The sequence below is a fragment of the Homo sapiens genome, chromosome 4 (assembly GCF_000001405.40).
Source record: "Homo sapiens chromosome 4, GRCh38.p14 Primary Assembly".
NCBI lineage: Eukaryota > Metazoa > Chordata > Mammalia > Primates > Hominidae > Homo > Homo sapiens.
In genome coordinates this window covers 27,259,664-27,283,167 of record NC_000004.12, presented here as the reverse complement: position 1 = coordinate 27,283,167, position 23,504 = coordinate 27,259,664, and the positions used below count along the sequence as shown (strand labels likewise).

The following is a 23,504-nucleotide window of genomic DNA, read 5'->3' as shown; positions in this document are numbered from 1 at the left end:
ATCTACCTCAATTATAATTAGTTAGAAATTTATCTTTTTAATATCTCTTTCTCTTATCTCTTTCTCTTATGTACATTGTATCCCTTTATGACACTACAATAAATACAGAACCAGGTTTGATGTGTATTCTCACATAGGAAGTACACACACAAAAAAATTATTAAATAATGAAGGCGTATATCTGTCAAAAGTTAGTGCTGGATCATTAAGAAACACCTGAAATGAGAGTAGGTATTGAGGACTGTAATGGAGACAGGAAGGTTGGCTACAAAATGCATTCCCTTCATTCCCGTTGGTGTTGGGTGTCATCTTGAGGGTGGGTTCTGTCCAATAAAATGTGAATACATGGGCAGAAATGAGACCCACTACTTCTAGCTTTTGACCATGTTAAACCTTCAAGTTCATTTTTCACACATTCTTTCTTTGCCTGTTGACAAGATACAAGAGAGGAGATTAAGGCCTTAGGGGATGGTGGAGCAATGGGCAGAAATGATAAAGATCCCTGAATGATCATGTGGAGCACCACCATAGGGCCTGCATGAAAGTAAGAAATAATTTCCTTTGTATTGAGTCATTGATGTTTTGGGTATTTTTGCTGAAACAGTTTGCCTACCCTAACTAATACAAGAAGAGAACCCCAGATGATGCTGTCTGATATTTCTTACATTTTTTCAGCAAGATGTTCTACTTTTCTTATTTTCAGAAGTGAAAAATAGTCCTGAAAATACTTTACTAGGAATGGCCAATGGCTATAGTTGGGACAAGCCTTACTCTTAGGTCATATTGATAGACAAGGGATAACAAAAAGATGCTCCGAACAGGATCATGGCACCCACCAAAATGCCTGAAATTCTCACAACTAAAAAATCATTATTTGTAAGTTTTAGGATTTGTTTTTCAAAACAGTTTTACTGAGGACAAAGGACATACAATAAACTACATACATTTTAAATGAAGAATTTAATATGTTTGTACATATGTATATACCTATTAAAGCATCACCACAATTAACATAATAAAAAAGCATCACCCCAACCATAAGTTTTCTCATGCCCATTTTCAATCCATTCCCCCCTTTCCTTCCCATCCCCTCTTCATGACACCCTCATCCCAAGTAATCTTTCATCTGCTCTCTGTCACTATGCATTAGGTTATATTCCCTGGATTTACTGGATTTACTGTTGTCCCCTCAAGTATCCTCAGGGATTTTTTTCCAGGACATTCCTGTGGATATCAAAATCTATGGACGCTCAAGTCCCTTATGTAAAATTGTGCAGTATTTGAACAACTTTCCCACATTCTCTTTTATACTTTAAATCATCTCTAGATTATTGATAATACCTGATGCATTATAAATGCTATATAAATAGTTGTTATACTGCATTGTATTATTTTTATGTTGCATTTTAAAATTTTTTCAAATATTTTTTATCTGTAGTTGATTGAATCCACAAATGCAGAATCCTCAGATACAGAGATTCTTCTGTATATATAAATGGAACCATACAATACGCACTGTTTTTTGATCTGGCTTCTATCATTCACCATAATTATTTTGATACTATTTCACATTGTAAAGTGTGTCGATAGTGCATTCCTTTTATTGCTGGGTAGTATTGTGCTGCATGGATATACGACAATTTGTTTATTCATTTACCCGTTGATGGACATTTGTGTTGTTTCCAGTTTGGGGCTATAACAAATAAAGCTGCTACAAACATTGGCGTAGCAGCCTTAGTATGGGTATGTGCTTTCATTTCTCTTGGATAAATACCAAGGGACAGAAGGGCTGGGTCATGTAGTAGACACGTGTAGCTTTTAAAGAAAGTGCCAAACTGTGTGCCAAAGTTGTTACACCAACTTGGCATTTCCTCCAGCAATGTATGGGAGTTCCATTTCCTCTCTGTTTTTACCAACACTTGGAATAGTCGATGTTCTTGATTTTAACCATTTTAGTAAGTATGAGTGATATCTTATTTGCCAGAAGCAAAAGTCCCAGAATCCACTTTTAAAATACAATTTTGACATTGTCAAAAGAATGTGAGCTATAATGGTAGAAAAACTGGTTACGTGTTTTCACAATATCATATATGTAGGTACAACTTTGTCAAGGCAGGAGGATATTCCAGGGAATGCCACATGCAAAGACTTGGAAGTCTGAAAGACCATCGGGCAAAATGACAAGTAGTTCAATAATGGTAGAGTAGAGTGTGGAGTAAGAAGTAAAGAGTGGCAATAGATAACTCTACAAAAGCAAGGAGTGGCCAGTTCATGAAGGGCATGGCATGCCATGTACATGAGTTAAGATTATGACCTTAAAAATGGGGAGTTCTGAAGTGGAGGGTGATGTAATCAGATTTGTGAATTAGAACCTTCAGCTCTGTGAGGACCACACTGGAGGAGAGGTGAATCCACAGGAAGAGAGTCCATAAGAAGTTCATTATTTTAGTGCAGATCAGAGAAAATGGGGACCTGATCTAGTACAGTAGCAGGAGGGAGAGAGGAATGGAAACTGAGACACACAGAAAAGCCAGACTTAAGGGATAATTTCCTGGAACTTAAATGACTTGCTTTGAGAAGAAAGATAGGTAGGGTATTCTCCTCATAAAATTAGAAACAGGCCAGGTGCAGTGGCTCACACCTGTAATCCCAGCACTTTGGGAGGCAGAGGAGGGCGGATCACAAGGTCAGGAGATGGAGACCATCCTGGCTAACACGGTGAAACCCCATCTCTACTAAAAATACAAAAAAATTAGCCGGGTGTGGTGGCAGGCACCTGTAGTCCCAGCTACTCGGGAAACTGAGGCAGGAGAACGGCGTGAACCTGGTAGGTGGAGCTTACAGTGAGCTGAGATGCCGCCACTGCACTCCAGCCTGGGTGACAGTGCTAGACTCCGTCTAAAAAAAATAAGAAGAAGAATAAACAAAGCTTGGAAAGCAGGTTTGTGGGAGAAGCTGCTAAGCTCATTCCATTACTCCTGAGATTAAAGTATCACTGATTATGAAAATGAAGGCATGTGGAAGTCAGATTTGGCCTCATTCATTCAAAATAGGTGTATTAATTCTTATCTATGTGCCAGGTATAGTAGGGAGATGGAACTATGTGGTAAGGGAAATAAGAATAGAATAGAAACTAGATATCACTGTTTCACTGCTAGTTAGTTAGTTAGTTTTCATTTATCTTAGACAAGTCTTTTGAACTCCTGGTTTACTCATCTGTAAAACAGAGGTAATAATGGCACTCTTGAACATTTACAATACAATAAAGAACAATACTACATGAAAACATGATAATTCAAAATAGAAAATGCTAAGAAACATACAATAGATATAGAGAGTTTGGGAGCTTCAGAACGGTGTCTACTTCCAGTTGGCTCTCTTGCCATACATTGCAATATATAACTATTTATGTCCTCATCATTTTCAGTCATAAGTGATGGCAGAATCTTGAAGGAATGAGCCTGTAAGGCACTTTAATGTAGTAATAGGAAAGTCATGTCACAGTATGCCAATCATGGCTCAGGCAGCAGGAGGCCTGGAGAAATATGTCTTATTCCTCCCAAAGGCCAGTGTTAAGGGATATCAGAGAGAAAACATAAAGTTGCTCAGGACCACTATCACCATGTGACTCTGCAGGAAAGCAGAAACTGTTCATAGGTTTGCAGGCTGCTCTCCAGCTATGAGGGTGCTTGTCTCAATGGGAAGAACAATTTTCAAGGTATCAGAAGACTAAAAACTTAGTCCCAGCACTACCACATAATAGCTATGTGACCTTGGGAAAGTCACTTACCTTCTCTGGTTCTCCGTGCCCTCACCTATAAAAGTGAGACTTAAAATCATCTCCCCTAACACTGCCATCTGTAACAATGTATGTTTATCTCATACTTTTCTGGACAAATTGGCCCTTGAAAGGGGAGCTCCTTCCCTGTGCTGATAAATATAGTCTGTTTGCTCAGCAAGATTAAGTAACATAATAAATATTCTAGCCAGGCACTGTTTGGACTGTGACACAGTTTAACAATGCTAATCTGCTGCATGGCAGTCAAAGCCTGCATCAGCTTCATATATTTATAAAGATGTCCTTGTCATCCAGTGCTTGGGTCAATTTTCAACTCACATTTGCCTTGGTGACTTCATTTAGCCACCTCTCTGTTACTGGTTTGTTAGCTGGGTCTTCAGCACATAACAGAGGTCATGCATGCAGAGCAAAAGAAAATCTCTACATATATTGTGGAATATAAATACTATTAAGTCACCCAAGGTTTTACTTTAGGAATCTGGATTTCCTGAGAATGATTTTTGCCCTGGTTTTGGTTAATTTGGCTAATCTCCCCAGTTCAGCACCCTGGACAGGGGTACCACACTGAGTAAGCTGATAGGCATCACTGGGAGAACCTAAGGGTCTGTTTGGTGGATTGAAGAAAGCTGCCTTCGAACTTAAATAGAGCAGAATATCTTTGCAGGCAGCGTAGTGAAGAACTATCTTAGCCAAAATGTGCATGCGCCGCAAATGAGAGGTTGCTGTTTTCCAAAGAAGTACTCATAAAGTGAGGGGAAGCAAGAAAAAAAACCAACTCAGACAACTCTCACCAGTATCTATTACTGTAAAATGCCAGAAGCAATTATGATGTCATGTATTGTCTAAAATTGGGACAGTGAGACAGCTCGAGATGCAGTTGGAGCTAATAAACCAAATAAAATCCGCCGAGTTTTACTGCATTGTATTGTTTCTTTACACAATTATAGGCAGTGAGAAAGGCATCTGCCACATTATACTCGATTTATTCCTTCTTTATTTTCTTTTATCTCTTCCCTTCCTTTGTTAAAAATAAAGTACGTGAGATAGGTTTGGGGATTTTTAAAAAGCTTTCCTAGATAGATCCAATGTAACTTACTGTTGCAAGCCTTGAAAATATCCCCTGATTAAAATGTGCTTACCTGTTTTGTACTTACTTCAGCAGTAAGCATCTTAAAAGAGAGCAAAGAGCTTCCCACCTTAAATGAGAAAGAGAAAATAAAATGATGTTTGCCACTTGGGATCTTTCTAATAAATTCTACCGAAGAGGGTCCTGTGCTATGGGGCTCATTTCCAAGATATTTCTTTAATCAAGATTCTAAATCCAAATGCATGCTTATTTAACTTCCTTTGGATCTGACAGCATTAAGTTTTTTAAAAAAGTCAAAAGCTCCCAGCACTTTGGGAGTGCGAGGCGGGTGGATCACGAGGTCAGGAGATCGAGACCATCCTGGCTAACACGGTGAAACCCTGTCTCTACTAAAAATACAAAAAATTAACTGGGCATGGTGGCGGGCGCCTGTAGTCCCAGCTACTCAGGAGGCTGAGGCAGGAGAATGGCGTGAACCTAGGAGATGGAGGTTGCAGTGAGCTGAGATCACGCCACTGCACTCCAGCCTGGGTGACAGAGCGAGACTCCATCAAAAAAAAAAAAAGTCAAGAGCTTTTTTTTTTCATTTTCAATGTAATAAAAACATTCTTACTTTCTATGCAGTTTTCAGATAAGATCAATTGTTTTATTTATCTCAAATACTAACAAGGATTGAGCTGCCAGGAGACTTCAGCACTCAGGGACCCCCAAGTTGGTTTTTTCCCTGGGACCCAGCCAGGTGGTATTTCACACATTTTAGGAGAAGCCACACAAGCTACTTCTTTGGAGTTAAACCAAGGAATGTATCCAAAGAGAGGTGGATTTTTTTTGTTTTGTGTTCATATGATTTATTTTCCTTCACAAGCTGTAAAATCCTTCACATCTCACTGATGGGGGAAAAAAAAAGAATACAATTCAATGATATCAGAATGTGCAAAATCTTTTCAGCTGAACCCAAACTGCTTTCATGGGTCACATTTCTACTTACCTCGGGCTTCTGTGTTTTCTGTCCGTCTCTCACCATCCCAACTTATGGTGAATAAAATCTTCATGCAGTGAACATATTAATTATATGAATTGCATCTTCATGTAAGTTGTGTGAATTCTCAGGTCACATCTGTGGAACGCCAAGGCCAAAAACACCCAACTCCACAGGGATGTTGTTTGCTATGCCCTTTTGGTCATCGGTAGATTGATTTTCATGTTCTGGCTACACAGACAGTTAGCAAAGCTGAGCATTGTTTCTTGCTTTGCACTGAAGACCCAATTAGCCAACACAGTCAATGAACAGGTCAAGAGTTGAGGTTCAAATGGGCTCCTCAAGGCCAAGTCTCTCTGTTTGAACAGCTTTCCACCGACCTTTGTCCTCATCACAGGTGATCTCTTGTAAACGTGTCACCAAACTCCATGTGCAGAGCTAAAGAGGAAATAAATCCTGGTTTATCCAAATATCATGTGTCACTGCACAGTCAAATCAAATGGCCCCAGAAAGATCATTACTGATAAAGAATAAGCTGTTACCACAGAAATGTAAAGACTTTGGTCAGAAAAGTCTCTGAACTGCAGAGATAAATAAATACACAGTGAATGTTTAGATATATCCTGTGTTAAAAGCAATTTAAATTCAGTGTTACTTTTAACTCATAATAGACCAGATGTGTAAGTCTCAGTGTGTTGGTGATCCCCTGTCAGTAAAATAACAGGACTCTCTTGTCATTGACTACACTTAAGTCTGCCACTATAAATTCACATCAGATTTATGACTTTCTGAGCCTTCTTGGCAGAGTTACAGGCCAATAACACGTTAGGAATGGCATTCTGGCTAGATGTTTTACTCACCACACATTATATAGATTATAGTCTTCAAGACAGCAAGGGGTTGTAAGACTCAGATAATAAATCTACCAGAGATTAGAGTCATAAGGATCTTGCTAAACATCTGACCCACTCAATACACTTGCAAGGATAGGTCCAGTCTATTTGTCTCCTGTGAGATGAAGTTGGATATACAGGCTATACAGCCTGCCCCAGATGGAGAACAAATTAACCACAAGGCCAACCAACTAGTTCCTCTGTAAGTCAACATCAGTAGGAGTGGTCCAGGGTTCTCTGTCATAGTAGCAGCACCTGGAATGAGTAGCTCTCTGACACTGCCTTGTTGACATGCTGAAGGGAACAAGGAGTTGGCTCTCTTGAAGTCTTTACAATTTTCTGCAGCCCCTGGCCCCAAAACTCATGAAACTGACTCCTCTTGGGAACTGGACAGAAAGATGATGATCAGAACAGAGGCATGAGTGGCCATATATAGACTGGCCTTTCATGAAGAGGAAAATATTTTCCAAAGGCTGGATCCACTCATCTGGAAGCATTTTTGACCAGTTCTAAGCACACAGGTGGAAAAACAAAACAAAGCTAAACAAAACTATCAGCCCTAACTTCATAGCACTTGCAGCCTAGTCAGATAGACAAGTAAAATAAGCAATGCATGACAGAGCCACCTAATAACCACTCTAAGACACATCCCTGGGGCTGACCCTAACTTCAAATGGCTGTCGATTTTTACTCATTAGTATTTTTCTAGTCCATGTAACAAACTTGCACGTGTACTCCCTGTATTTATAAAAGTAAAAATTAAAACATTTTTTAAAATTCTAATCAGTATTCTCTTCCTTTCTCACCACCAGTACTTTAAAATCACCAATTCACCATCGGTTCCCTTCTATGCAGGTACATGGAGTAAAAGGAAGCTAACCGACATTGTCTGAAACCTGCCTAAAGTGAAGCAAGGGCCAGGGTGTTCTCACACAATGTTTCAGCAACTTGTTTTATTGCAGTCCACACAGAGGCCCCAAATCTCCAAGAAGACGAAACTAGAGAAGACGACAGAACAATCTTAAAGTTGTAATAGCTTTGCCAAGGTCTGTGTCCTAATGCTTTAACAACATCCTATCTTTGTGCTTATCTTGTGCCTTATTCAATCCTACTCCCCAAGCCCATTCGCACTGCTCAGTCAGTGGACACACTTGATCTAACCTGTTCTTTGGCAACACACAGTGGTGAAGCACACATCTCACTTCCCAGAAATGAGATGCCCAGAAATAAGATGCATCCTAAAATTATGCAAAGAGGTAGAAACCACTGAGTTTAATATAAAACAAGTTCAGGATGCCTTTTTGAAACCAATTATCCCCCTGCCTCTAATCCCACCATTAGAAAACCACCAGGTTGAGTCTTGATTTTGATTTTTTTAACCAAAATCACTGTTAAAAATAAATATCCAGTGAGAACTTAAATCGTTTTCCATGTTACAAGACAGGGTCCCTTCACATCTAGTCCTACCTAAGCATAAAGCTTGGGCTTTCCTTTCCATAATGTCCCTGACTCTCTAAGCGTAATGACCTCCCTCCTATATTTTAAGACTCTTATGTGTGTCCCAGGCCACAGAAAAAAAGTGAATTCCCCCCACCCCCACTGCCCCCAGATTTTTGATAGCCTCATGAAGTCTCATCACAGTTATCTTCCTACCAAACAATCCATGAGCCACCTGCAGGCAACTCTCCATGAAAAGTTCAGATCTCACAAGGGCAATGAGGCTAATGGCTCCACTAGCCAGCTCCTCCACCTGCCTGAATATGGCCAGTCCTCTCCCCACTGGCAGTCTGCCTCTGAAGGCTGAGCTTCCAGGGTACTCTCTAGTACTCTGCTTGGCTGTTCCTATTACCCACCCCACAACATGTCTTCACTTGCTTTGCACCACATTTCCCATGAACTCACTTCTCTCCTGCCTCCCCTCCACTAAGGTCACCTATCCTCCCTGCTCCAGCTCTCTTTCATGCAAGGAGGTGAGGCGATGAGCAGCCTGGCTCTCTAGTTCTTACTCTATCCTCTTTCCACTTCTCTGATTGTGGCACTGCTTCCCTTAGAACCCACTTTGGAAGTAAGAAAAGCAAACCTGACTGTTTATTCTCATTCTTAAAAGCCGTATGGATGCCTCTGACCAAACAGTGGATGATCACATAAGACAAATGGGGAAAAAGAAACATGAACATTAACATTTCAAAATACATCTTGTTTCACCAAGTACTGGCATTTGACACTTGAAGAAAATCAAGGGGCTATGGATTCCATACCTCCAAGGACTGCTAAAGGATGAATATAAGACATGTGAAGTGTTTAACATGGTGCCTGGCACACAGTGAGGCTTAGAAAATATTAGCTATTCTTCTTATTATCAGGAAAAAGGAAAGCTAATTTGGAAGTAGCCTAGGAGAGACAAAAGGAAAAAAAACAGTGAACATTCCCATCATTGCTCAAGCTTAATGGAAACCAACAAGACCAGGCCTGCCATCTTGGGTTCTCCTCTCTCCCCAGTTTCACTTTGACTCAACTTTTCTTCTATGGCAGCTTGTTATATGCAAAAAAAAAAAAGGCCACTTGATCTACACTCAGACTCTGAGTTAATTTTCATCCTGTTCTTTGAAATTTTCTAGCAGGGATTCTGCCGTGAGTGTAATTATATCCAAACACTTTTACAAAAATTCAGCATCATCTGTATATTGTAGAAGAAAATATTCCTTCTGCACCATTGGTGGCACCATTAGCCCTCCAATAACAGGACGCTGGGTGAAATGGTCCCCTTCGAGCCACACAGAGACCCTTTGACAACAGGTAAATACTACAAAACTGTGCATTAGAACCCGAATCTAACACACTGTCACCACAGGGAAAGCCAGTTTAAAATCATAAATGTCAAGATATAATTAGCTTAAAGGTCAGGTTTAATTATAGTTGTTGAAAATGAAATACACTAATTACTGAAACCATGTTGGAAAATTATTTTAATGGTTGGAAATGTTTTGTCGGTGCCTTTGTTTCTACAGAATGATGGTTCCTGTTGCTTGATGAGAAAACATGGTGACGAGCGTTTGCTTCCCTGCATGGATAGAAGCAGAGAACAAAACAGAGTTGATGAAAAACTCGTAACTCCAAGCAGCCCCACAGAACAGTTGCTCTATGTTATTGTATTATTAATCATTTTCTTATAATCGGTGCTTTAGATATAATTTTAATGAAGCTTCAAGAAAAGCTCAATGCATTACATTGTAACAACAGAGGAAGCACATTTATCACTTGGTCTGTAGGTTTAATGGCAAAACAAATCAATAAATAAACAACTGCTGAGAAAATAACTCAATAACTGGAAAAAGTTGTTTTACCTGTAGGATTTCTGAGATTTCTACTGGGAATATTTATTGGCTCACCTAAGTATTTTTCTTGTGATTTTATCATCTCTTTCCTTTGGGCTTCCAAGGAATAAAAAGTTTGAACAATCTTTCATTTAATTTTATGTTTTGTCTGCTGTTTAAAAAAAAAAAATAAGTGATAATATTTTTCAAAATTTGGCTCAGTTTTAAATGAAAAAAAATATTTGTAATAAAAAAATTCCCAAGAAATCTAAGTAATAAGCAGGCACAAGTTATCAGAACTCTTCATAACTGGTAGAAAAGTCCTTCAGAAGATTTAGTCTGAATACTGATATAACCCCATAGGGAAAAAAGGAGTTTTATCCAGTGTGGTTCTCATATGGAGATTAGCACTCCTGAAGAGAACTAAAACATCAATTTTTGGAGGAAAAAAATTGTTAAAAAAGGCAAGAACCTACAGAATGTGTTTTGTCAAAATGGAGAACAAAAGGCTAAGGAAACAGTGTTTTACTCTCTGAAAGACACATTGAGGGAGACAGTTTTAGTTGAGACAGGAGAAGCTGCATGACACCAAAGCATTTAAATAGCTCCAAAAGAACCCACTTGTGACAAAGCGAGAGCAGAGCTATTCTCCAGTAAGCCACAGACAATGTAAGGAGAGTCTGCACTCTGCTCTAGCTCAATAATGCACAAAGAAAATGGCATTTAATTAAGAGTTGCCTGCCTTCCAGGTACTTATGACATTGAAATTAGTGTGGACATAAGGCACTAAAGCTGACATCAACATAGTTCACCCAAGAAGTCATTTACTTAAGATTTACAACCCACTGTAAGAGAAAAGTGAAAATTTATGAAAGGTTTCCATCTGGCAGGCTATATCATTAGCATTCAAACTGATAGCAGCAATGATTTAAATTTCATAATCTAAGTGAAGATATGCACCAAAAATTCTTCTAAAATATGTCTAATAGCTCTAACTGACTTCTTTATTAGAGTCTGCCTATGAAAAAATGTCAGATATCAATGAAGAAGTCATCAAATGTTAATTTTAGTCTATCCAACTGATAGAAATTCATAATAAAGTAGCATCATTGTGGCTGAAACCCCCACCTAAGCTCTCTGAAAGAGATGCAATAAACTAACTCCTTTTCATTGCTTTAAAAATAAAACCCAATTGCCTTGTTTCATCTGGTTATAACGAGCGTTTTAAGTCATAACAATGATTATTTATTAAATACCAATACCTATTTCGGGGGATGGAGGGGAGAGAGAGTGCAGCCTTTGGCAAGTGTTGTTCAGAGCTGATGAATAAATCCCGTTAACAGAGAGAAGGAAATATGTATAAATCTCTTACTGCAGGAGAATCACTGTCCCATCCATTTTTCTGAATTAAAACTCACTGTCACTACAAAATGCCCTCATGCTGTCAGAACAGGACTGTGTAAGAAGATAAACCCTTGATATTCTCCCTTAAAAATGCAGACAGATAAATGTTTAAAACAATAAGAAATGTGGTTTACATATCAGAATATAACATACCAAGAGTTAGAGCACCCTCAGATGATACTAGGTACAAGTTTAAAATACATTTAACTTTAAAGGAAGTTAATATATTTCCCTGGGTTTCATGTACAATGCTGCAGAGGTAAAAAGAAAAATAAAAGTTACAGATTCAGAAGACAGGCTGGAATTAAATTTAGTTCCACCACATTTTAGTTCTGTGACCTTGAGCAAGCTATTTATCCTCTCTAGTATTCTATTTCCCCGTCCAGAAAACAATATCTACCTCATAGGATTATTGGACGAGACGTGAGATGTTATATATGAAGTTCCCAGCACAATGGTTCACAAAGAGTTTTTAGATATGCAAAGCTTACTTAGGATATCCATAGAAATAGAAACAGGATGTGTTCTATGAAGCTTCTAGAACCCCCAACCCTTGAACCTGGCTGTAGGAGTTGAAGACACAAGGTGTGACAGAGACATACCTTGTATACAGCACACCTTGTATATTATCAGTTATTCTTCTTTGCTAAGGAACAGCCGAGTATGTCCATATATGTCACACAAATGTGCCCAGAAAAATAGGCCCCTCCATAACTCTAGGGAATACCGTGATTGCTTTCTATCTGGGCAAATGTGGTCATAATAAGTAATATTTGCCAGATATTTCTTGCTCTCTGCCTCACATGCATAGGATAATCCTGTGTTTCCTGGCTTTTTTGTGTGTTTGAATAGCGTCATGCTAATAGTTATAAGTGATGAATCAGAAATACAAATAACAGTGGGATGGAGTAGCCTCTGTGAGACCCTGTCTTTCCTCTGTTACAATAACCAGCGGTGTCTAAGACAGTGGACTCTGACTCACCTTGAATTTCTGAATGATGGTGTAGAGAAAGATGCCAGCCAATTCACAATGAACATGAACCAGGTGCAACAAATAAGCCTTTGTTGTGGCAAGCCACTGAGATTTGAGGATTGTTTGTTCTCACAGCAGGCCCTGACTATCCTGACTGATGCAATAGGTACTTTCTACTGGGATCTGATGAAATGAATAAGAAATGAAGAGACAGGTGTCCTCATTTTTTTAATTATTGTGCAATTATGTGATCACTCAATTCTACCAGAAGCAGGGAGAAAGGGATCAAGGTAGACCTTATAAGTAATGCTTGAATTGAATTGTGATCTTAAAATATTTGAGGGGTTCATTAAATTGATTGGAAGGAGGGGCTGTAGAAAAACATTTTTGACAGAGTAAGAGGTGGAACTCTCAAAGATTTGTCTAGAGAGATAAACAAGATGAGAATAGAGGGTCATCACAAAGCCTCTACAAAGTCTGGACTTTATTTGATCAGCTAGAGGCTATTCTACTGCAAAATCTATGACAGTTGATGGTGAAATGTTGAATACATATGCCTGGACAATCCCAGATTCTGAGTGAAATAATAACAATGACATCATGACAAGCACTGGTGGGAAATGCCACATGGTGTAGCCCACAACTTAGAAAAGATTGGCTGCTGATCATTCACAACCCCAAAGAATAATGGAATTCAAAATTGTAAAATTTACACTTAAAAAGTAAATTATTCCCAATCTTTAACACTGAAACTCAGCTAATAGCAGATATGTGGTACACAGTTTACAAGTTATCCTAATGCATTGATAATTTCTAACAAAAACTTCTACTGTGGGCAATGGAAGCCATCAAAGAGCTCTAAGCAGAGGAGTGACATGACTGGAGGTGCACATCTTGAAAAAACTTATTTAGAAACAGTGGGCAGGATGGAATGGATAGTGTAAGATGATGGTTAGGACACCATTTAGGAGACTGTCACAGTCATAAGCTTTTACAGCTTATAAAAATAAGAAGGTGGGTGTGCCCATCTACCAAATTCCAAGAGAAATTTTCCAAGAGAAAATTTGTCTTTCTTGGTATCTGTGGTTATTTGAAAACTATCTCCAAATAAACTCGTTTTTTTCTCCCAGTAATCTCTCAATGGCAGTACTTTTCAACTTGGTTTCTACCACTTGGCCTTCCTTGCTTTCTCTTCTCCCTCACTATTGCTTCTTCTCTCCCCTGGGAGAACTTATAAATGTGCTTTAAAACCTCGGGCAGTTGATGGAGTGGGGTACTCGGTTTTTCCCTAGAAAACCATGGTTATAACAGTTCAGGTCAAGATAATGAAGGCATGAACTGACACGAAATTCAGAAATGAAATAAAGAAGAGATAGAAAAAGGAAATGGTAAACTACTGAATTCAGTACAGCTTGTATATTGTCAGGGGAACACACTTTTCTAGTTGGATAACAAGGTTCCTGGAATGCTGTAGGCACTCAACAAATATTTGCTGAATAAATAAATAAATCTGAAAAACAAAATGCAAAGCACCAAATGTATGTTAGGATTTATCAAGATGGATCAGCAATGACTCCTGCTCTGAAAGACTTTCTCACGCTGCTGTTAACCCAGTATCTTAAGGCATGGATGGAATACCCGGTACCAACACCACCACCTCTCCTTCATTTTCTGCACCCATAGCAGTCATTTTAAATTGGCCACTATGATTTTTCACTGTTGAACCTACACGCATAATCAGAAAATCCTTCAGAAGACAATGTCCCAGAAAATTATTGTCAGTTGATCAGAGACGACGAGGTAAATGAGATCTAATCACCTAGTCACCTATTTCTCAGGCATACCAATATGCTGAATGAGTTTGAAAGGAATTAAGCAGCAAAACGAAACAGAAAATAATATATTCTGTGTTTTATTCCTACTCACCATTTAATTATGTTTCTGTGTCCTAATGGAAGAAAACTGGAGCATGTGAGGTGAGCAGATATTGACTGACAGGTCCCCAGTCTCAAAAATGGGTAACTGAAAGCTAGGCCTATGTGGGTTGAGAAAGGATGGGAAGGAAGAAAAGATGGAGTGGGTAGCTCGGCCTATACAAAGTATTTATTTTAAGAGAAAAAGAAGAAATTTGTTCTATTTGTTTTGTTAATATATGATCTGCAAGGATGCCTCCTACATGGATTTTTTCAGTCCAAGCCATCTAAGGTAAATAAGAACTGTGAAAACCACATCAGACTGAAAAGCAAGAACTGTGTCTAACTCTGCTCTCTCACAAGTCATAGAGTAAGCGGCAATAACATCAGCCACCCCTCAATTTCCCAATTAGTACACAGGGAGTCAGAATAACTTCCAATAATGATAATGGCCACTTATGGAATGCCTAATGTGAACTGGACAATATTCTAAGCACTTCACATATATTATCAAAGCCAAGACTATGTCTCCCTTGGAATCAAGAATAGTGAAAAGGCATTCTCCTTTTGCTTTAGCTGTAATATTCTCCCCACGTGACACACGACAGAAATCCGGGCTCAGTAAGATTAAAGAACTCATGCTTACATCACGTAAGAAACAAAGATGGCATTGAACTCAAGTCTGTCTGGTTCTGAAGCTAATCATAGTAACCATTATGCTATCTATATAGAAACTGCTAAATGCCATTTTTCAAATTACAATCAGGCAGTTGGGCTAAGACTGAGGCTTCAGAAAACAGTACAATTCCTGTGTGCTGTGCTAACACTTCTGTTTAGGAACGTCTCATTGAAAAGTTTCTGAAAATGAACTCCGTTCAGCAAACGCACCAGTTTAATGGCTACCCGTGTGTGCTAGGTGCTAGCTGACATCAGCATATAAAGCATTTTATGAAGTCTTTATTGACCTGTAAATGTTGCTCCCACTACTAATGGAATAGTACTTATGCACCATTGGACTGCGGAAACCTCTACCACTAGGACTCACTCTGAATGTTAACCCGGGCTAGCTGCCATCAGATAAATGAAGAACTGTGGCTGGTTAATCTTCCCAGGACCACAACACAGACACAGTGGAGTCCTGGTGAACAGACTCACTCTCTTTTTCAAGAAGCAGACATCCCTCCTTAGCATCTGAAATTACTAGATGATTTTACATTGCATCACACAAAAAACAGGACATTCTGGAAATGTGCTTTCTCAACATTTGGCCCTTCAAACCTAGGGGAAGAAAAAAAAAAAACCTGGCAAAATTATTTGGAAGGATGAAAGATGTAAATGCTGTTATGAGCATCTCTCCAATGGTAAATAACCAAGCTTTTATTGGGCGAATGTAATTAGAGACAGATTTCAATGCCTCTTGGATACAGCTGTTTCTGTCCTCCTGGCTTCAGACTGTTGCTGGATCATTCTGCGGCCATTGGCAATTTAGCCAGTCAGTTCTGCCTCGGTGCACCCAGCTGACCTCCTTCTCCACTGAGATGATGGACCTGCCTATGAAGACTGCTCAGAATTCCAAAATGAGGTACCCAAATCTCAAAGGCACCTTGAAATATGCACCTTCAGTGGCACAGCTATCAGGTTTTGCCATATATTAGTATTTGTTCTGGGTGTGTTTGTGTTTTAGGAGGCCCTTGGGGAAAAAAATATTCCTATAATCAGCCTGATGCTGCCAAGCAATGGTTTTTGTTTCTCCTAGATATCCTGTCACTGCCAGGCAATGGTTTTTTGCTTCTCTTAGATATCAGAAAGAACTAAGAGAAAGTATTCATTGTCTACTTTTCTAAAGGAAGGTATGTAGAGATCTCTGTATAGCACTAAGAGAGAGACTTTTGGCCAGACACAGAAAGACAAATACGAGGTAATCTCACTTCTATCTGGAATCTAAAAAACTCAAACTTACAGAAGCAGAGGGTAGAATGGCGGTTACCAGGGGCCAGATTGGGGACAGAGGAGGAATTGTGGTGATGAAAAAAAAAAGAGAGAGAACATCTGCAACAAAAGGAGATGCATGTAGATGTTCAAGGCATGTTTTTAAACCATGCTTACTTGCTTTTTATGGTATGTAAAACTAGGGTAAAGCTTGTCTCTCGATGCCCTAAGTATGGTAATATAAAAGAGTGACTGGATGTGACAATGGACCTGACCTTAGGTTAATCACCAGTTGCCTCAACAAGGACTTAGCTACAAGCTTCAGAGTAACCCACTTACCACCACTTTAATAACAAGAAAGCTTATAAACTCCTGACCCAATCTCCTCAGGTCAGAAAATCTCAATTTCTACATAGGACTGGAAACAATACAGATAGTACTTGTATTTGTTAGGAAAAAAAGAAAGAAAAAATCCTTAGACCAGTCTTCGTCTGTTGGTGTTCTGCAGTTTCAGCATCCTTATCAAAAACAAGAATCAAGTGTTAGGGAAGAGAAGGGAGAGAGCACCAATTTGGACAGAATATAAAATAATCCAATTCCACCTTAGATTGTGAGTAACTAGAGGACAGGAACTGTGACTCTGGCCATAGGCCTGGCCTCACAACACTAAACACAGAACTGTCTCTTAAAGTTTCTCAGCTGGGCACAGTGGCTTACGCCTGTAATCCCAGCACTCTGGGAGGCTAAGGCAGTGGGATCACTTGAGATCAGGAGTTTGAGACCAGCCTGGCCAACATTGTGAAAACCCATCTCTACTAAAAAAAAAAAAAAAAAAAAAATTAGCCAGGCATGGTGATGCATGCCTATAGTCCCAGCTACTCCAGAGGCTAAGGCAGGAGAATTGCTTGAACCTGGGAGACAGAGGTTTCAGTGAGCCAAGATCATGCTGTTGCATTCCAGCCTGGGCAACAGAGTGAGTGAAACTCTGTCTCAAAAAAAAAAAAAAAAAAAGTTTCTCTAAAAATGCTTACTGAATTGGATTAGAGTAGACAATGATGTACCAAGTGTCTAGGAAGGATAACATTTGGGACTGAATAGAATAACATTATTTTATTACAGCTTTAAATGTAGTCCTGCTTTTGTTTTCAAGGAGACTGCAAATAGAACAACTTCTTGATTCTATTGGTATTAGAGTTCTAAACACAAGGAGACAATATATCACTGTCTAAAGGCAAGGGGTCCAGCAAATCATCACTGAACACTATCTCAAAAGGTTACTTGGTCAACCTTCAAGTTAGTGACAGTTTCCAAGACCTCTCTTTCCTTTTTTTCTAAAGGACATTGTACTTAAACAAAATCCAAAGTCCTTACAATATGAGTTACTATTGCTAGGTAACAAATGACCTCAAATTTAGCAGCTTACAACAACAATTTTTCATCTCACACAGTTTTTAAGGGTCAGGAATCTGGAAGTGGGTTTAGCTTAATGACTTCAGGTCTCTCATGAGGTTGCCATCAAGCTGTTGGCTGGAATTTCAATGATCTGAAGGCTTGATTAGGGCTCGAGGACCTATGTCCAAGCCTACTCGTGAGGCTCACAGGGTGAACCTCCTCATAAGGTTATTAACAAGATAGCCACTGGTTTCCCTCAGAGCAAATGATCTAAGAAAGAGAGACACACACACACACAGGGATAGAGAGAAAGAGAGAGAGGCCACATTGTTTTTTATAACCCAATCTCAGAAGTCACATATCACCATTTCTGCCATACTCTATTGGTAACAAAGACTAATCCTGGTAAAGTGTGCAAAAGGACCACACAGTGTATCATTGGGGACCATTCAGGAGAGTGGTTACCACACTTACCAAGACCCATAATGCCTTACAAACTTCTCCCTGCCTGCCTCCCCAAACTCACCTCATGCTATTTTCCCCCATGCCTGCTATGCTCCAGTCAAATGGTCTTGTGACAGTTCCTAGAACAACGTGAAACTTTTCCTCCCTCAGTCCCTATTTATTTGCTCTTTTCTATGCCTGAAATGCTTTTCTTCTGCTTCTAAAACAGATCAATGCTTCTCATCTGATTATACACCATCTTGTCTGATAGGCCTTCCCACAACCTCTACTTCAAAAATTCTCCATCCTGTGATACCCCATTATTTATTTCTTTTATTGTACATCTGTACTTATGTTTATTCAGATAGACCTTCCCACACCATCTTCTTGAAAAAACTCTTCACCTTGTGATATCCCATTTTTATTTCTTTCATTTTACATCTGTACTTATGTTTATTCATGTATCTATCTTCTTATGGCATTTTCTAAATACAATAAGCACCATCAAGACAGATGCCCTTTCTGCCATGGGCACTGTTGTATCTCCAGTGCCTGGCACAAAATTGATGCTCATGAATATTTATTGTCTGAATGAAAAAGGCACAGTCAACAGTTCTTCCCAGTCATCGTCTTGTATTCTAACCACCTCGACTCACACCTACACAGTGGACCAGGGACATTTTCCCAAGTCAAGCCTCAAAGCAAACCTTCTAACACATATTCCCCACCACACTTCCTTCATCTCCTAACTCAGTTTCCTCTGAAATGATCACCAACAATAAAGTCTAGACTGATTTAGCACCCTGAAGATTTTCTTCTCCACCACCTGGTATGGCATCAGGCTGTCCTTTAAAAGTCTCTAGAATGTCACCCCATAACCTTCTGTTTAATCTAGCTTTTCTTTCTCTTGCATCCAGTTTCTACCTGGTTGCTTCATACTCAATTTCTACTGCTCAGACCAATAGTTTTAAGTCGATGCTTTAGCACATTCTGTTGGCACGGGCTCTAAAGCTCAGCAAAACCCAAGGATGCTAAATTCCTGACCCCTCACCTGCAGGCTTGTGGCAAGTCTGGCTTCATACCCACACTAAGCCAGAACTCTCAGGACCCCTGCTTGAGTCCAGTACTCAAGCATTAGCTTGAATTTGAACCACAGAAGAACTTCAGACAACTGGTGACTCCTTGTTTGTATCTGGCCTCTTGTTGTCTAGAGATCTGTTTATCATTTTGTATTAGTTCATTTTCATGTTGCTGATAAAGACATATGAGAGACTGGGCAATTTACAAAAGGAAGAGGCTTAATCACAATCATGGCAGAAGGCAAGGAGGAGCAAGTCAGGTCTTACATGGATGGTAGCAGGCAAAGAGAGAATGTACCAACAGGGGAAATACCGGATGCTTATGAAACCATCAGATCTCATGAGAACTCACTCACTATCACAAGAACAATATGGGGGAAACTGCCCCCATGATGCAATTATCTCCAGCTGGCCCTGCCCTTGACATGTAGGAATTATTAAAATTCAAGGTGAGATTTGGGTGGGCACACAGAGCCAAGCCTTATCACATTTGAACACTCATGTGTAAGGTTTTCAAATACTCAAATTCTCTGAGCTATCTTTCTTCAATTGGACTTCGTTAGAGCATAATGGCTGATCTTTAACAGGGGCAGCATATGCAGAAATACTTTATTGAATATTTTACTCCCTTATCCCTAATTCTGCATTGCAATGTGAAATCTGCTGGTAGACATGTGTTCTAGACCTAACTCTGAACTTATCCTCAGTTTCCTTATCTGTACAGTAATAATATAGGCCTAGATGCTGTGAAAGGCCTTCCTAAATTCTGTCATAAGTGCAATACACAATATCAAGGCACATGTGGCTTTTCCTAGTTGTTTATCTCTGATTTTTTTAGGTACTTCTGAAGCCGGATGCCAGTTTCTTCAGCAACGTGCCTGAAATGGAAAGCCTCAAGTCCTCTCTTTGCTTGTTTTGCCTGATCCAGATGGCCTCCTTCATCTGTCTGGATCCTTCATTCTTCTTTCCTCAGGGATATTTTAGAATCAGCTTCCACAAAGATGAACATTTCTTTACCGTGAGACTTGTACTAACCTACAGGGACCTTGTGCAAATCACCTTTGGCAAAGGTGTTCTCATTCATTACTGTGGCTCAACTTCCTAATCAACCGAGACAAGAATTCTGTCACATTTAGAGAAGGCTGAAGGCTTTCTCTGTTAACTTCCCAGATGTTTCCAGGATCAGGAAAAAAAAAAGGAAAAGAAACTAAGAATTCTAAATTGTTTTAACCTGAAGGCCAAAATACTGATACTTTAGCCTCTTTTGGCTCATTACTGGAAGATGTTTCCAAGCATATTCTTAAGAATGACATAAAATATTTTCAATTTGCTTCATTTTCATGGTCAGAATTATTGTGTAAGTTTTGGGGTCTAAGAATTAGAACTGATGTCACATGCAGAGTTTGTCAAGTGCTTGTTAAATTAAAAAGAAAATAATAAAATAATATTCTGTACATATTGCAGTCTGTGTTTTCATACATATTACCTGACCATCACCCTTTACTCTTTGTTATCTGTAAGGTATGCAATGAATTAAAAGAAGAGACTATATTGTCTTTATTAGTAAAAAAAAAAAAAAAAAAAAAAAAAAAAGTAACAAAAATATCACTTTGGTAATTTTTAATGTAATAATAGTGTTATTAACAAGCTTCTAGGAGAATTTTCCAGCTAGTAATTGCCATGACATTTTCAATCACAGGTGCTTTTATTACTAAACAGTGACTGACAGGCAAAAAAAAAAAAAAAAGAGGTAATTTTACTCATGCTTCAGGAACCTCAGAAAACTTCTCAAGTTTTTGAGAGCAATAAGGGGCTGAACTTCCTCAGTCTGGCCCCAGTTTCTCCATATTCTGTTAAAACAACTCATGTCAGAAAATATTTCTTTCTAATCTTCTTTTTTTTTATTAAATCCCCACTGATATTTTTCTATAGAAAAATCAGGAGATATAGTTCAGAGTCTGTGGTTAAAGAATCCCACTTGGGCATTCCTATCAGAGGTTTTAAACTAAGAGGATTTCTTCAAAGCCTATCATGAGAGAGTGTTTCAGTTATACAATATACCAAGAGAAAGAAAATGTTTCAAAATTATCTTCTCTTGAGTACCAGGCCCTTCTGTTTCCTACTGCACACATTTTAGCTATAATGCCATCTGTTTAAATTTGCTACTTATTATTCACCTTTTCCTTTGAGGTTATTAATTATTGTTAATATGCCTTCAAAACAGGTTAAAGTCATGCAAGCAAGTGAACAACTCAAGGCAGGAGAGATATTTCACAAGCCTGCTTCATTATCATAGTTCATTCAATTATTTTTAATAAAATGATGATATAGTTAGAAAAGACCAAGAAACTTTGGGAAAAGTAAAAATTGTTTTATTTAAAACACATTAAGTATGAGAAATGTGACTTGCTTAATACTAGATTTCCATAGTTTTATATGGACACATAAACAAAGGTGTAGATTATGTATCAAAGCTCTGTACTGAACCATTTGCATTAAGGCAAAAGAATTAAGCAAATCATTGTCTGTCTTTATTGAGTATATCAAATATTTCATAAATGAGATCCCAGCTGTGTTACCTAGAAAAAGAATATTTTTTTACATATCATATATCCCAAATGTTAAAAAATAAATATAAATTAAAAAAGGATTAAAATGGCAAGAAGGATAAATCAACTTTTAAAATCTTAATTTACTAAGATCATTACCATTATTCTTCTGATTCCCCTGCAAGCAGAACCCATGATAATGTCATCTGTGTTTTTGCGTTGCCCAAGAATATTCCCCAAAACTCAGTTTAAATCTCTTTCTTCCCTTATAGTTAGGTATCAACTGAGAATTCTTTTTGTTTTCTGCTAAGAACTTGGCCAATAACAAACAAATGAAACAATGAAAGCCTATAGTCCTTGCAGATTTGGCCATTATAAATCTGGAGACTTGTGCAGTTCAATAAAAACAGCACATTCAGAAAAAATTAACCCAACTACCACAATGATTAAAAATGAGTGCAAATGCATTTGTTGTCTAACACACCACCAGACACAAATCAGAGGGTAAGCAAGGGACACACAAAAGGCTACAGATGCAGAAGGTTTCACATGGTTTTTCTCTGATCTTGGGAATTCAGCTGCCAATGATGTTATCTACATTAAATAATAATAATAATAATAAATAAACACCTTGCTATGCTACTTTTCATTGCTATCTCAGAAAAGCTACATATCCACAGAAGAGGCTGTTGACTAACACTGGGCTCTGCTGGTTCTTGGATCACTCCCAACAGCATCCAACACTGTGAAAGGCCACATCTTCAACAGGGAGTGAACAGTATCTCTACCTTTAGCCTTCCAGAATCTCTGAAAGGCCGTCTCCCTGCAGACATTTCTTTGTAATTGACACCACAGATGGGCCTAAGTATGCTATTTTCCCTAAAAACAAAGGAGGGTATAAATTTTTTAAAATACAGTGTGCTCTACCCAGAGGAGACAGAGATCAGGTTTTTGTACTTTAAAGCACAATGTCTGTCTGCCAAGCAAAGGATGATGAACTATTCCCAATGACTATTTCCAAGGTGCTGGGTTAAAGCGCTTTTTGCATGTAGTTAAAATCAAGCAAAGAGTCAATGGAAAAAATTCCCCATGAAATGGCTTTTAGATGTCCTTGTTCATCGTTCGTACAAGCAATTATCTTAAAAGGAGATGCTCATCTGTTCCAGTCACTAACATTTATACCTATCCAAGCCACGATTAACTCCTATTGAAAATTTTGTTTTCATGGTTATTATGAAACTTAATCATGTTTATGGATAAAGCCAGTTTAGACATTTGAACCAGGCATCTCTTGCAGAACAGTTTACATCATTGTAGACAGACCACAAAACACCTTCTAGATAAACGCTCCCTATAATCTGTCACCAAAGCAATATGAAGTCAATGTTCCACAGATAATGGGGAGGAGAGGAGGGACTTCTAACATGTTTTTATTATCTTCAAGATACACATAAGGGAAAACTGAGACATGTGTGTGTGTGTGCATGTGTGCACACATATGTAGTATTTTGATATTGTTAGAGTAAGTGGATAGATAGATAGATTGATAGATTGATTAATATAGATTGGCCAAATACCTCTCTTAACCCACATTAAACTCCCTTCTCTTCAGGAGTAGAGAAGCTAGAAAATTCATATAAGGATAATAAGTATGTGTGAGGAATTTTTCCCCAACAAAATGCTAATATATAAGTAAATGGCATCCAAAAGTTGTACCTTTTTACTTGAATCAATTTTATTGTAAAGAAC

The 23,504-nt window shown here is 38.6% G+C and overlaps 2 long non-coding RNA genes across 2 annotated transcripts in view, besides 1 other annotated feature; one reads left to right on the top strand and one right to left on the bottom strand.

The window, feature by feature from the left end:
- Window positions 1-942: 942 nt before the first annotated feature.
- The window catches only part of LINC02261 (long intergenic non-protein coding RNA 2261), a 64,747-nt gene continuing 42,185 nt past the window's right edge, over window positions 943-23,504 (bottom strand). Inside the window, exons 4-6 of the long non-coding RNA NR_125921.1 lie at window positions 5,875-6,303; window positions 4,939-4,995; window positions 943-2,898 (exon numbers count right to left, since the gene is read on the bottom strand). This is a non-coding gene — a long non-coding RNA (long intergenic non-protein coding RNA 2261). The remainder of the gene's footprint in view (window positions 2,899-4,938; window positions 4,996-5,874; window positions 6,304-23,504) is intronic.
- Window positions 4,254-4,454: a silencer, noted in NCBI's record as "peak5014 fragment used in MPRA reporter construct". NCBI's record gives its function as "represses an SCP1 promoter by STARR-seq MPRAs in K562 erythroleukemia cells {active_cell/tissue: K562}" and the evidence as "EXISTENCE:reporter gene assay evidence [ECO:0000049][PMID:32103011]".
- Window positions 15,827-20,662, top strand: LOC124900842 (uncharacterized). Its single transcript, XR_007058438.1, has 2 exons — window positions 15,827-15,944; window positions 20,045-20,662. It is a non-coding gene; the product is annotated as an uncharacterized LOC124900842 (long non-coding RNA).